This window comes from Homo sapiens, chromosome 10, assembly GCF_000001405.40.
Source record: "Homo sapiens chromosome 10, GRCh38.p14 Primary Assembly".
NCBI classification, from domain to species: Eukaryota; Metazoa; Chordata; class Mammalia; order Primates; family Hominidae; genus Homo; species Homo sapiens.
In genome coordinates, this window is record NC_000010.11 from 69,937,396 (window position 1) to 69,951,568 (window position 14,173).

Below are 14,173 nucleotides of genomic sequence, written 5' to 3' on the forward strand. Positions count from 1 at the left end.
GTCCCCAGGCCACCTAGTCCTTTTCTCTGTGGGGCTCTCAAAGCTCCCACAGGATACAGGGGCTACTAACTGAGGCGAGAGTAGGCTAAGAATTCAGGGATTCTTGGTATCCTCAGCCTGCCACCCTGACCCCTCCTTCCTCTACAAATGCCACCCCAGCCTCCAGGACCCCAGAATGCAAGAATGAATTGTCTGGGACATGTCCTTGTGTGATCTCGTCCCCTCTCCCTTTCCTCCAGGGGGAAGCAGGACTAGATGGAGCAAAAGGAGAGAAAGGCTTCCAGGGAGAAAAAGGAGACCGTGGTCCCCTGGGACTACCCGTAAGTACCTTGGACCCAGCAAGACTGGTGGGTTTGATGGGCCAGGGGTGTGGGCTGGGACTGGGGGACAGCCAGCGGAAAGCTAAGGTTCTAGAGTCTGAGCATCCAGAGTTCCATGTGGTTTGTCTTTCCCACCTGGGCAAGACCACAGGCTCTGATTCTCTTCCTCCTCTGGGCCCAGGCCCCACCTTGGTGCTGGGGAAAGGCAATGCTGAAGAAGACAGGCTCCCCCACCCCAAGGGGCACTGAGCTGGGAGGGCAGCTTCAGGCCCTGCTTGAGCCTGGTTCAGAAGCAATCAAAGCCTGCTGCCTTTACGGGGCCAAGCTTGGAGGGTTTGGAAGTAGTGGGACAAGAAGATAGTCTCCATTACAGTCCATTTTCCCAGAGGGACCCCAAGAGAACTCTTGCTCCCCCCTCTTAAGCACTGGTCATTGCAGAAAGGCACAGACAAAGTCAGACTTTGTGGTCCCAGCAGGCCAAGGCCGTTCATCTCCTGGGTTCGTGGAGATCTCTGATCTCAGCCTGCCCAGAGCCAGAAGCCCCAGGTCAGAGGTGGGGAGCTGCTCAGAAGGTGTTCACATGTCATGATATGGGGCTGGGCTGGATAGGGCTGATGGCCTCTTCACTGCCTCACCTGTGTACAGGTGAGCGCATCCCACCACCCTCCCTGGAGCCCGGGCTCCATGCCCCCTAACCCTCCACTGAGGTTGGCATTCTTCCAAGAGCTGGAAGGGATGTTAGCGATCCATCCCATCATTTCACTGATGGTCCCAGAGAAGAAAGTGGGTCACTGGAGGTCACATACAAAGTTGGTGGCCAAGCCAGAGGCTGATCTGAGGCCATGGCCTTGCAAAGCGACTCCTTCCAGCCACTCAGGCTTCCTCTGTCCTGGGCTCAAGGCCAGTTCCCACCCCAGGTAGCCATAAAGAGCAGAGAAACAATGGAAAGCCCAGTTACCCCCGCTTGGCAGAGCTTGAAGGCCTGGTTAATACAATCACAGCAACCAAACAGCAAATGCAGGAGGTATAATTATACCCTCATGAATGCATTCGAGGTAGGAATATTTAAGAAGCCAATCTGCTTGACAGACTACAGAAAACTGATGACTTTAGCAGGCATTTTCCCATGTCTTAAGCTGTGTCTGGAATGATTAAGTGCTCCTTACTATTAAAGAGCCTTCCTGCCCCACTCAACCACAAACCTCTTCTTATCCACATTCATGGCCCCAACGACCTTGATGAACACTCGAGAATTCAGTCAGGGGTTGAAATGCAAAAGGCACAGCGACCAAACAGGTAATATTAATATAAACAAGGAAAGTGCCAGATGAAAGACAAAGTACCTACTCTATCATTAATTTTCTCACTTTTGATAGAGGCATGGGTACAGAGAAGTATTTTTTTTTAGTTTAAGTAAACAACAGAACAAGCATTCATATGAGACAACTGACACAAACCTGAGGGAGACACTAGGGAGTGGAGGGGACTGTGGTGCACTAGAGACCGTGTATCCCTTCTTAAGGGGAACCGTCCCTTCTCAGCTCAGCTGACTGTTGCCTTGGAGGAAGGCGGAGCTGGTATTTCTGGATCTTCCTATTTTTCAAAGGAAGTTAAACATCTGGTGTTTTATGTGAAATCTTTCCATTTTCTAATATTAGATCAAAATTATTTGCAACACTGCAGACCATAAAAAATATGTCAGTGGCCCACATATGGCCTGAAAGCCTCTAATTTGTGCTTTCTGCTCCAGACCTCTCAAGACAACTGAGTTTTAATGCTGCATTTTTTTAAAGTACATGGATATTTAGCTACCATTCTGTTTCCAGGTTTCACCTGGATGTTTTATTCTATGTAGTAGCAGCCTGCTTCTCCAGGCATATCCTGGAGTGTTCCCCCATTTGCCCTGCAGAAGCAATTCTCAATGCTGGCTGCACACTGGAATCCCCTGAGAGCTTTTCAAACTCACCATCACCCCGGGCTTCACTCTTGGAGATTTTGAATTGCATCGGGCTGGGATGGGGTGGGACCCAGGCATCTGTTTTATTTAACATTGCCCCCAAGAGATTCTAATGTGCTGCCAGGGCTGAGAACCACAGCTCTCTAGCCCAGTGAGTCAAGGTCGGTCCCAGAATCGTGTGGTCCTAAATCTGAGAAGAGTCCCTGCAGAGTCCTTCTACCCAACACCTTTTCCATGAAGCAGCAGCTCGTTGCCTCCTTCTTGGGACTTCCTTTTCATTTGAAATTCTGAGGCTGAGGCTCAGTTGGAAGCAGTTTTCAAGCACTCAGTCCTTACCAGGCCAGAGTATTGCCGCTGCCTTCTCCCTGACTTGTCACATTGGAATCATTAGAAAAGGGTCCCTGGGTTTTCCTGGGTGGGTTTCAGAGGCAGCTTCATAACCCAGGGTTGGAACAGGAGTGCCACCCCACCCCCGACCCACCAACCTTGTATTTCACTGGACAAGAGCAAGTAAGGGTGCTGATAGCAGGTTGGTCTCAGTAGCTTCCCACCTGCTGCCCATTTGCTCTGGGAAATACATGGCCTTAGACCTCTGTCCCAGGCCGCTGCCTCCAAAGCCTTTGCCTACACAAGAGCCCTTGTCTGGGAGCATATGAATGGATCGAGTTTAGGTTGAGCATCTCAGACTGTAAAGTGCCAGCGAAATGTCAGGCATCATTTGTAATATCATCTAAGAGCCAACTCATTCCCCCAGGGTGAAGGATAAGCAGAACAACTCCTACCCAGATTTCACAACTGGGTGCTGTCACCCAGGGCTGAGACCCTCAGGGGCACCCCAGCATGGCCTGATCCAAACAGGAATGCAAAGAGGCTGGGAGAGCCGTCCTCACCTGGGGCCCCTCCCCAGTGAAACCTGTCCTGGGAAGGGTGCACAGCTCTGATTCCAAGACATCTCTCTAAGCATTCCTTTCTGTATCCCTTTCCCCATAACACTGAAGGGAGAGGGGTTTCTGAGAGGGAATAAAGGGAGAGAGGAGAAGGGGGGCGGGAGGAGCAGGTGGCCATCTGCGCCGACCTCCACCCAGCCTGCTCAGCAGCCAGCCACTGCATTCAGTGTCTCCATGTTTTCGTTGGTTTCCATGTAAATACCATTCCGTGTCCTCCCAAGCTTATTTCTCCAGTTGTGTTTGATTACCAGCATTTATGTCTGTCCAGAGTCACTGCTTTACTCACCTCTTCCCTCCCCATTGTTCCCTTTTTCTCCCTCCCAATCCTCTCTTCCCCTTCTTTTGGTCAAACTGTGCCCTTCGTCCAGGGAGCTTCAGGTTTGGACGGCAGGCCTGGGCCACCGGTGAGTGTCACTTCTCCATCACCCCTCACCCCACTCCACTCCACACCTGGCCTGTGATCCCTTTTGTCTGTCCCACTGTGGCCTCATTTTCCCAGTGAATCATGCCTGGTCCCACCTCCGACACCAGAAAGGTGCCACTGATGCTCTGAAGTGCCTTTTCTGGCCTCTTGACCAAATATGGCTGGCCTTCATCTGAATGCCCCTGTCCACAGAATACACCCAGGGACCTCAAACCTGCCAGGTGTGGGGTGGGAGGCCACTCCAGCAGCACCGCTCCTGATTCCACAGGAATGCTGAGTCCAGCCTGGGTGCCCAGCCCTGGAGGTTTGAGCCATGGCCTCTCCCCACCAAACACACCAGTGTCTGTGTGTGCCCGTCATGCTGTGTTGTCTTCATGCTGTGAGCTCTGTCCATCTCCTGTCTTCCCACGAGGGCCTCCTAGTCTTGTGCAGCCACCAGTCTGGTATATGTGGGGTAGGACAGCTTTGAAGGCTGAGGACAGGAGTAGCCTGCAGAAGCATAGAAGCCAGTCCCAGCTCTGTGTCTTATGCACGTTCTAACCACCCTTGCACTGCCTATGACAGCACAGTCGCCCTGCAACCCAACATGGCAGTTCACTACAGAGCAAGTGAGGCACACTTGGGTCCTCTCTTCCTCCATTCTTTCTGATTCCAGAAAACAGGCATCATTTACTATTGACTAGAAAGCACCTGGCCCTTCTGCTTATGACTAACAACTGAAGGATCAGAGGAAAATTCCCTCCTGTCCACCTCCGGTCCCTCCCGTGAGCGCCCTCTGAGGTCAACCTTCCCAGGGTATTGAGCTCACTCGCCCTCAAGTCTCGAGTCCCTGCTCGGACACCATCACGAGAGCTCTGTGCACCCAGCCCCTTCCAGCCAGGGAGGCCCTGCTCTGTCCTGCAGAGGGCTTTCAAGGCCACATCTGCCCATGGCCTGCATGGAGTTCTAGTTAGCTGGCTGGAGCCACCCTCAGGGGAGGCGAGACCTTGCCAGGGTTCATGTGTGCAGCGTAGGGGACACACTGAAGCACAGGCTCACAGGTCTTCCCAGGTGGCCGGGGGCACTTGCAACCGGCACCAAGAGAAGCCCAGAGCTTTTAGAGGTAGGAGGGTCAAGATAGACCTCTGTGAGAGCCCCATCCTACTGAATGCCTATTCTGTGCCCTCATAAATAGGAGATGACATGGCTTGCCCAAGATGACAGACTTCTTCAGAGCCCCCCACCTCCCTGCACTGATGGAGTTCACACTGTAAACCCTTACATGCAGAGAGCATGCCCTGGCTTCCAGGAGTTATTATGGCTTTGCTCCTTCGCCACAGTCCCTCCCTCTCCATCCTTCCCCACCTAGCAAACCTGTCTCAGGTGCGGGCAGGGCTCGGGGATGATCTGTGGTTGCAATCAGAGAAACCAAGACTTTCCTCTCAATGGCTTCTCCCTTTTATGTTAGACCGAGGGAAGCAGTACAAATTCATACACTCTGTCCCTTAGGAACTGAGTCTTTATTTTCCTCATAAAATCAGTATCCTAACTTTAAGGGAAAATGTGGGGAAAAAAAATAAGCCTTCCCTGCCAATATTAACATTTATTGAGCACTTCCTACGCGTCAGGCTCAGCACCAAATGCTTGCTACGCATTCATGCATGGAAACCTGGCACGGTCAAGGAGGCAGACACACGTGGTACAGACGGGGAAACCGACACTCGGCAAGGCTAAGGAGCTTCTCCAATACCCAGGAGTTTGTAGGCCTCCGAGGCAAGGCCAGCCACATGACTCCGTGGCGCTGTGCCCAACCACTGGCCCGAGCTGACTCCTTATTGTTTTTGAGACAGAGTCTCGCTCTGTCACCCAGGCTGGAGTGCAGTGGCGCAATCTTGGCTCACTGCAACCTCCACCTCCGGGTTTCAAGCGATTCTCCTGCCTCAGCCTCCCGAGTAGCTGGGATTACAGGCACCCACCACCATGCCGGACTAAATGTTGTATTTTTAGTAGAGTTGGGGTTTCGCCATGTTGGCCAGACCGGTCTTGAACTCCTGACCTCAGGTGATCCACCCGCCTCGGCCTCCCAAAGTGCTGGGATTACAGCCGTGAGCCACTGCGCCCAGCCTCCTTTTTCTTTCTGCTGTGCTATTATGGATGCCTGCAGCCTTCCTTCCCTCCTTGTGGTTGCAAAGGGGGGCCCTGAGGACATCTTACTCCCCTCTTTGTCTCACGTGAAGTAAGTCATGCCCCGCCATTCACAGATACATTCAGAGCACAGGAAACTGTCCACAGCCCAAGTCAACTCCTCCTGTCCTCATCTGAGGCCAACAACAGGAGACGCTGAACTAGAGACTTGGTCTGGCCAGGCTGTGAACTGGGAACGTGGGAAGATGTTGGAGGAGGCCAGAGCAAGCCCTGATGCTCCATGTCTAAGCCGTGAGCTCCAATGGCTCCAGCGCCCCCAGCCCCGGGCTAGCAGAGCTCATGACACGCCTCCCTGCCAGGCCGGTGTCGGTGCAGACATTGAGGCACCCTAATTCACCCCCCGATCCAGCCAGTTCCGCAGGCCTGTGAGTGGGGCGAGAAGGCCCCGGCCAGAGACTGAGGCCAGGGCTGTGGGTCTGCGGTGGGCCGGTGGGGTGGGTGTTGGCTGAACAACCCTCTCTCGTCTGCCCCTGTGTGTGCATCCGCATCCATCTCTGTGGCATGAAGACCCTCCCGCTGCATGTGGAGCTGCAAAGCAAAGAGGGTGCCAGCCCCCGGCCCCTGCCCCGGGATGGGTCCACTCCCTCCCAAGTGCTTCTGGGAGCAAAACTAAGCAACCATTCTCCCATTGTTTTCAGCCTTGGCAAGCTTGGTTGTGAAGCAAAAGGGTTTCAGTCCACAAATCTGGCTCTGAGGCATGGGGAGGTGCTCTCTCCCCAACAGCCCCTGAACCCAAAGAGGATCACGGCCCAGTCGAATGACTGCCCTGAACGAGCCTGGCCTCGCCAACTCTGAAAACTGGGCCTTGGACCTTGCTCATCTCTAGGCATCAGGTGGGGCACCCAGGGCTCCCCAGAGTGTGGGGACCCTCACCTCTGCTTTCTTTCCCCTTCCCAGGGTACTCCAGGACCAATTGGAGTTCCAGGCCCAGCGGGACCAAAGGGCGAGAGGGTGAGTGTCACTGAGCCAGGGGCCTGGGCGGCCAGGAGGGAGAGGCATGCCTGGGACCCAACACCAGGGGTCTCAGCCCTCATGCCTTCCTTCTTCCATCTCTTCTCCTGGTCATCCTCACAGCAGCCTGGGACAGGGGGTGCTGGTTGTGTAGCTATGAGTTGACAAGACTTGGAGGGATCAAGGAGATGGAGAGGCCGGGCACGTTGGCTCATACCTGTAATCCCAACACTCTGGGAGGCCAGGTTGGGAGGATCACTTGAGCTCAGGAGTCTGAGACCAGCCTGGACAACATAGCGCAACCCAGACTCTACAAAAAATTTTTTTAAAATTAGCCAGGCATGATGGTGCACACCTCTAGTCCTAGCTACTTGGGAGGCTGAGGCAGGAGGATCAGTTGAGCCCAGGAAGTGGAGGCTGCAGTGAACCATTATTATATTACTGCACTCCAGCCTAGGAGACAGAGCAAGACCTTATCTCTATAAAAAAAAAAATGAAAAAGAAAAAGAAAGAAAGAAAGAAAAAGAAAAAGAAAAAAGAGGAAAAGAAAAAAAAAGGAATTGGAGAACTTCCTCCACTTTGGCTTCTGGCCACCTTGTGTCCATCTCAGGTTCAGTTTGGCAAGGCCCTGGGCGCCATTGTCACTGGACATGCCTAAACTTTGTAATGATTTAGGGAAACTGCATGGAACAGAGGGCCAGGTGGTGTTTAGATAATTCCTCGAGGACAGCAGGAAGTCAGGAGGCCAGAGCCATAGGCCAGGCTCCCACGGTCGCTGTCGATGGACGTTGGCCATGTCACAGGACTTGCAGTTCCTGGCCTGTCCTGCTGGAATGGGCATGTCCGAGGGTGAGGGTGGAGGGTGTCAGCTGAGTGGAGGCAGGGGAGCTGTGTCTTTCTATATCAGCTCTTCCCAGCCAGCCCCTGGGTTCTACACACTCAGGGCTCGGAGGTCCCTGTGTGGGCATCCGTCGAGTTCTCTGCCTGTGTGGGCAGCTCCCTGCACTCCCCATCCGCCCACCTTGCTGGCTCTGTCTCAGGTGGGGAGGGCAGGAGCTTCTGCAGAGGGCACAAGCTTCTCCGTGACCACCAGCTTGGGGAAACCAGGAGGCTGCTCTGAGAGGTGACCCTTGAGGCTCTGGAGAAGAAAGCAAAGCTCTCTTTCTCTTCCCTTTCTCTTTCCCTGCCTTCCTGCCCTGCTTTCTTCGCCCCTGTTTCAGCCTCAGGCCAGCCAGGCCCAGGACACCACGGGTCATTCTGGGAGGCCTTGGGGGATAGGCTCTGCTGGAGGGAGAGTGAGGGGGGCTTCTGAGCCCCCTCCCCAAGGCAGTGTTCGCATCAGCAGCACCCCACCTTTCCCATAGCCCTTGCTTCCCGGAGGGCTCTTGAGGGGACTGGAGAGGTTTCCTGTATTTCATACCAAAGTAGAAAATGGCAAGGAAGATTGTTACCGTGTCTGGCAGGATTCATGCATTTCTTTCTCCCATTTCAGGGCAGCAAAGGAGACCCTGGGATGACAGGACCAACGGGAGCAGCTGGGCTTCCTGTGAGTCTCTTGGGATCAGAGGTTCCTCTCCTCCCACCCCTGCCCCCATTAGAAATACCCACGGCCGGCCGGGCATGGTGGCTCACACCTGTAATCCCAGCACTTTGGGAGGCCGAGGCGGGCGCATCACGAGGTCAGGAGATCAAGACTATCCTGGCCAACACGGTGAAACCCCGTCTTTACTAAAAATACAAAACTTAGCCACGTGTGGTGGTGCGCACCTGTATCCCAGCTACTCGGGAGGCTGAGGCAGGAGAATCTCTTGAACCCAGGAGGTGGAGGTTGCAGTGAGCCGAGATCGCACCACTGCACTCCAGCCTGGGTGACAGAGCGAGACTCCATCTCAAAAAAACGAACACACAAACCAAAAAAAAAAAAAAAAATCACCTAGGGCCTGGAGCACAAATCCAGGGCCAAGGGAGAACTCTCATTTCCATGACAGACAAAGCTGCCAAGAGGCAACTGGTGATAGGCTAGCATGCCCTGCTGGGCATTGCGCTGTGAGAGGACCAGGGCCTCTGCCATGGGGACCCTGTAATGGGATGTAGCCCCTCCCACTGTGTTAAGTGCAGCCTGCCCTCAGCAATGTGTGCGCCATGGCCCCTGCCCTCAGAAGGGGCAGAATCAAATCCAGACCCCTGTGATAGGAGAGGCTTCATGAGCGGAGCAGCTGGGCCTTGCAGGGGACACCTGGCTTTCCATCACGGCATGCTTTCCCACCACTGTGTTACAGAAGTTGAGTGTCTGCCTGAGAGAGCCCGCACTTTAGTTTCCCATCCACTGGAGGCTGTGTGTGTTGGCCAGGTACGCACATCTGGGCCAGGCTTGTCTCATGCTAAATTCCCCTAGCTGTAGAATGAAGAGCATTTTGCACCTTGAAAAGAGGGTCTAGCAAGAGCCTGGCAGGAGAGCCTTGGGAACTCCCCTCTGCCTAGAGCATTCCTGGCCCCCACAAGCGCATCCTCAGAACTGACCCCTCACCTGCGGTAGTGACCTCGGGAAAACCCAGCCACAGGCCAGGACCTGGGCTGGAGAGGTGAGAAAACCAGAACTGTGTTTTTTTGTTTTTTGTTTTTTGTTTTGAGACGGAGTCTCACTCTGTCGCCAGGCTGGAGTGCAGTGGCATGATCTCGGCTCACTGCAACCTCAGCCTCCCAGGTTCAAGCGATTCTCCTGCCTCAGCCTCCAGCGTAGCTCAGACTACAGGTGCCCACCACCACGGCCAGCTGATATTTTTGTATTTTTCATAGAGACGGGCTTTCACCTCGTTGGCCAGGATGGTTTCGATCTCTGGACCTCGTGATCCGCCCACCTCGGCCTCCCAAAGTGCTGGGATTACAGGCGTGAGCCACCGTGCCCAGCCTGAAGTGTGTTCTTGGCTTTGCCCAGAACTCATCATTTGCCTCTAGGTCAGGTTTTCTTAGCGATTTGCTTCTCTGTCCCCTTTCCGTGTAGTGGGAATAACTAAACCTGTCTCCAGTGAGTGAGGCATTGGGAGAGTTTGATGAGCCTGGAAGAAAGCACTGTACAGCTGGCCTGTGTGTCCTCATTAACATGCCTTTCTTCCTCTGATCTCTTGCAGGGTTTACATGGACCACCCGGGGACAAGGGAAACCGGGTGAGTCTGAGCCCCTGCACTCGTGCTCTAGTTACTAATGTCTTCATGATGGGGTGGAATGATCGATCGGTGATTCCTGACCAACATGGCGAACAGTTTTTCCTGATAAGTCATCCTAAATTGAAAGGCTTTACAAGGAGGGCCTTAACCTGTGGCATGTAGGGAGCCTGGGGCCTGATCCTCACATGGAAGCCTGTATTTTTCCACACAGCAAGGAGAGACTGAATCCCATGGCAGCCACCAGCTTAGCATTGCTATCCAGCAACAAGATCCATGTGTCCAGCTCTTTCTAGGTTGCCCTGATTGTGGGCCCCTACGTGATCATTTTAGATCCATTGCTACCTTGTCCTTGCCCTCTGAAACTTGGTTTTGCCAGGCATTCCAGGCCACTGGTGAGAGAGAAAATAAATTCCAGCTCCAAGAACAAGCAGACAGTTGTTGGAAGCAGCCAACCCTTTTAAAAAATATTACAGCCACTATTTCTCTTGGAAAGAGTCGGCAGGGCTCTGAAAGGACTGCGCCTTCTCAGACCCTTGCTGTCCCTTTGGTTTCTGCCATCTTCACCAGGACACACTTACCAAATGCCCATGGCACCCACAGCCACATAACAGGGGGTGGCACCGACCACAGCCTTCAGCATTTGGGCCCAGCAGGGAGAATTTAACTACATCTGACCAAGAGATGGCCTTTGGGTTCCCCTCTGGAGGGTCTCATCTGCTGCTGCATCATGGGGCTTCCTGGAGTGGGGGGCACACCCCCTAGAAACCAAGTGTGTCTCCTAGCGGGTCCTAAAATCCAAGGCGCTTAGAGGAGAAGGAACAGATGGAGAAACAAGGCCCAGACAATGATTATGTGTTCTGGGATCCCATGGAGAGTTAGAGGAAGAGCACACGGTCTCCAGAACCCAGGTCTTGTGGCTGATCTTTGCACACTGATACCATGTTCATGCACAGAAAGTGCCAGAATGCCTATGCTCCTATCTGGCAACAGTGAATTCCATCTCTTCAACTCAAGATCTATTTACTGAGCACTCCCATTTTCCTAAGTGCTCTTCACTGGCAGCTGGTCAAAAGCAACTCAGTTTGTCCCGCATCTTCTATAAACAAGAGGGAGCAGCAGCGCCACCCCTGCCCATGGCAAGACCAGGTCTGGAAACTGCCGGAATAAACAGACCTGCTTCCAGATGCTCTAAGCACGCTGGGAAGGACTTTCCTCAGTGTGGCATCAAAGGATTTAGGCCTCTAAAATCTTTGATCATTCCACCTCTTCATTGGCATACTAACTTCCTTTCAAATGTCTTTCTGACATGTTCTAGTTTTCTTTATTATATTCAATTAGTATTTTCTAAACCTCCTTCTTCAGACTTTTTCAGTTGGCTGGAGACACTGAGCCGTTTGAAGGCTGCAAAATCGGTCCTTCAAGGGACGGTGACCATGTTGCTCTAGAGGTGGAGGCAGGACAAGTACCCTTGTCACAGACAGAGGGAGGGTGGGGGCTGGCGGCTCTGATGCTGCAGCAACTGAGGTTATTGAGTCATCCACGGAGGCCCCAGGAATCAGTGGGAAAGTATTTCTATTCCCCTTCCCCTTCCCGATGTTTGACACACTTTCCTCCATCCCCTTTACAAATTAGGAATGTGTCACTTAGTAAAAGTCAAGTTCAGAAAACAATGAGGTGGCACGCACCTTTCTTTTGAGCACACCATAAAGAGCCAATTGACTTATTCCCAAAGAGCAGGTTTCCAACTCAAGGGCAGCTTGTCCTCTTCATGCCGGGGATTTGACTCTCAGGATGCCCAAATGTCCTGGAAGAGTCTCCCCTCAATCTTGCCTCCCATTCTGACCTTTCTTTGTTTCTTCGAGACAGAGTCTTGCTCTGTCGCCAGGCTGGAGTGCAATGGCGCGATCTCAGCTCATTGCAAACTCCGCCTCCCGGGTTCAAGTGATTTCCCTGCCTCAGCCTCCTGAGTAGTTGGAACTACAGGCATGCGCCACCACGCCCGGCTAATTTTTTGTATTTTAGTAGAGACAGGGTTTCACCATATTGGCCAGGCTGGTTTCAAACTCCTGACCTCAAGTGATCCTCCTGCCTCGGCTCCCAAAGTGCTGGAATTACAGACATGAGCCACCGCACCTGGCCCAGAGATTTGTTTTATCTTACAGTGAACCAAGATACAACCTTACAGGTATGCTTCTCCATGTCCCATCAAAGGATGGTCTCAGAGCCTCTTTCCTGTTCATGGAAGGAAAGTCCTTGTCATGGTGGGCAAAGGCCCGGAGCCCCAGACCAGGAGCTTTCTAAGGGACACACACGCCAGTGGAAAGAATATCCTGACCTTGTCACTAAGGGTGCTTCCCTTTCCCCTAAGTAGCTCTGTGAATTTGGCCCGGGAGCCACCTTTAGGGTAAGAAATCAGTCAAAAGATAAAGGGTGGCATGAATCTGGCAATATAATCATTCAGGAAAATTGGATGTTACTGTGGAGCTGCCTGCAAACCAGCCAGCTGAAAAGGTCTGTGTGCATGCAGTGAGGCTGCTTCTGCTCTCTGAGATGCCCAACTTTGGGGGGGTGGGGGGTGCACGCATGTTTGTGTGTGTGTGTGTGTGCGTGTGTTTGTGTGTGCGTGTGTGTGTGTGTGTGCATGTGTTTGTGTGTGCGTGTGTGTGTACGTCTCACTTCCTAAGTCCGTCTTGTCTCCTCACTTCTTCCTCCTCCACTATCTCTTTTGGCCTCTTCCTTTACTGCTTCTCCCCCCAGATATGTTCATTCCGTTATAATAGTCCCACGTCCTTCATCCTTTCCCCTCCCCCTCACCAGCTGTCAGTTTATCTCCTCCAAAGTCCACTGTTAGACATTTACTTATGTTTTTAAGAAGCCTTTGCCCCTTGACTTTATTTGCCCCTTTCTCCCTTACCAGCTAGGGTTCCCTCTGTGCAATGGATCTCTTTTGTGTCACTGTCTGGGGGTGGGAGGCAGGGAGAACGCAGGCAACGTTACTACTCTAATAGCCTCAAAGGACACCGGATTTGGGGCAATTGCACAGGTTCTTAGAACACAACTCCCCATAGTGTCCGTTACCTGTTGTGAAAGTCTGGAACACGCCAACCCTCTGTTACCCCCGGGGTATCCTGGACTGGGATCCCCCACTCTGGCAGATTTGCCCGGCTTCTTCATTAGGAAACTGCTCATGACCCAGAGAATGAGGGGCCACACTCCTGAGAGAGTTTACCAGGGGGCTTCCCCACCCAAATAGCTAGTGGTTTTGCTGGTCTACCATTTGGGGATGATTTGTGCCATGATGTTCTTGTTGGCAGACAAAACTTCAGGCCGATGGGAATATACCTAATATGTGCATACATATTTAAACGCATGTCGTTTTCTAAGTAAGGATTTGCATTTTTAGAAAATTCATTTAGAATAATGCACTGGCAGTTGCAGACCACCTCTGAAATAGAGAAATTTGAGTAATTTCCGAAGATCTGGAAGAACATCAAAAATATTATTTTGTTTGTTTGTTTGTTTGTTTGTGAGAGTCTCACTCTGTCACCCAGGCTGGAGTGCAGTGGCACAATCTCAGCTCACTGCAACCTCTGCCTCCTGGGTTCAAGCGATTCTCCTGCCTCAGCCTCCCGAGTAGCTAGGATTACAGGCTAGTGCCACCACACCAGGCTAATTTTTGTATTTTTAGTAGAGATGGGGTTTTGCCATGTTGGCCAGGCTGGTCTCGAACTCCTGACCTCCAGTGATCCGCCCGCCTCCGCCTCCCAAAGTGCTGGGATTACAGACATGAGCCACTGTGCCCAGCCAAAAATATTCTTATCCTCTGCCTTCCTCTAATGAACATCTACCCTGCAGCCTTCCACTGCAGGAACAGTGCACATGACAACCTCTGACCCCAACCTTTGGCTCCTATACTGGCTAAAAAGAAATAATGACCATTATTATCATTATGAAGCAGCTATCGTTTACTGTGCACATACTATATTCCATTATTAAGCATTTAATGTGCACAAAGAACTCACAACATTTTTTTTTCAGACAGGGTCTTGCTTTGTTGCCCAGGCTGAAGTGTAGTGGTGCAATCATGGTTGACTGCTGCCTCAAACTCTTGTCCTTGGCTCAAGTGATCTTTCTGCCTCAAACTCCTGAGTAGCTAGGACTACAGGGACATGCCACCACACCCGACTAATTTTTTTATTCTTTGCAAAAATGAGGTCTTGCTTTAT

At 52.3% G+C, this 14,173-nt stretch overlaps 1 protein-coding gene across 42 annotated transcripts in view, besides 1 other annotated feature; it reads left to right on the top strand.

The window, feature by feature from the left end:
• COL13A1 (collagen type XIII alpha 1 chain) overlaps positions 1–14,173 on the top strand; it is a 157,239-nt gene that overhangs the window by 135,490 nt on the left and 7,576 nt on the right. For 23 of the 42 annotated variants that reach the window (XM_047424600.1, NM_001368882.1, XM_011539294.4 and 20 more), the window contains 5 exons: positions 240–320; positions 3,593–3,628; positions 6,730–6,783; positions 8,276–8,329; positions 9,912–9,947. In XM_047424600.1, coding sequence (XP_047280556.1) covers positions 240–320; positions 3,593–3,628; positions 6,730–6,783; positions 8,276–8,329; positions 9,912–9,947 — 261 coding nt within the window. The remainder of the gene's footprint in view (positions 1–239; positions 321–3,592; positions 3,629–6,729; positions 6,784–8,275; positions 8,330–9,911; positions 9,948–14,173) is intronic. The other 19 variants (XM_047424604.1, XM_047424605.1, XM_047424612.1 and 16 more) reach the window with 1 other exon arrangement.
• Positions 8,956–9,455: an enhancer, noted in NCBI's record as "H3K4me1 hESC enhancer chr10:71706107-71706606 (GRCh37/hg19 assembly coordinates)". NCBI's record gives its function as "activates a minimal SCP1, AML or CMV promoter by ChIP-STARR-seq in primed H9 embryonic stem cells {active_cell/tissue: H9 hESC(primed)}" and the evidence as "EXISTENCE:reporter gene assay evidence [ECO:0000049][PMID:30033119]".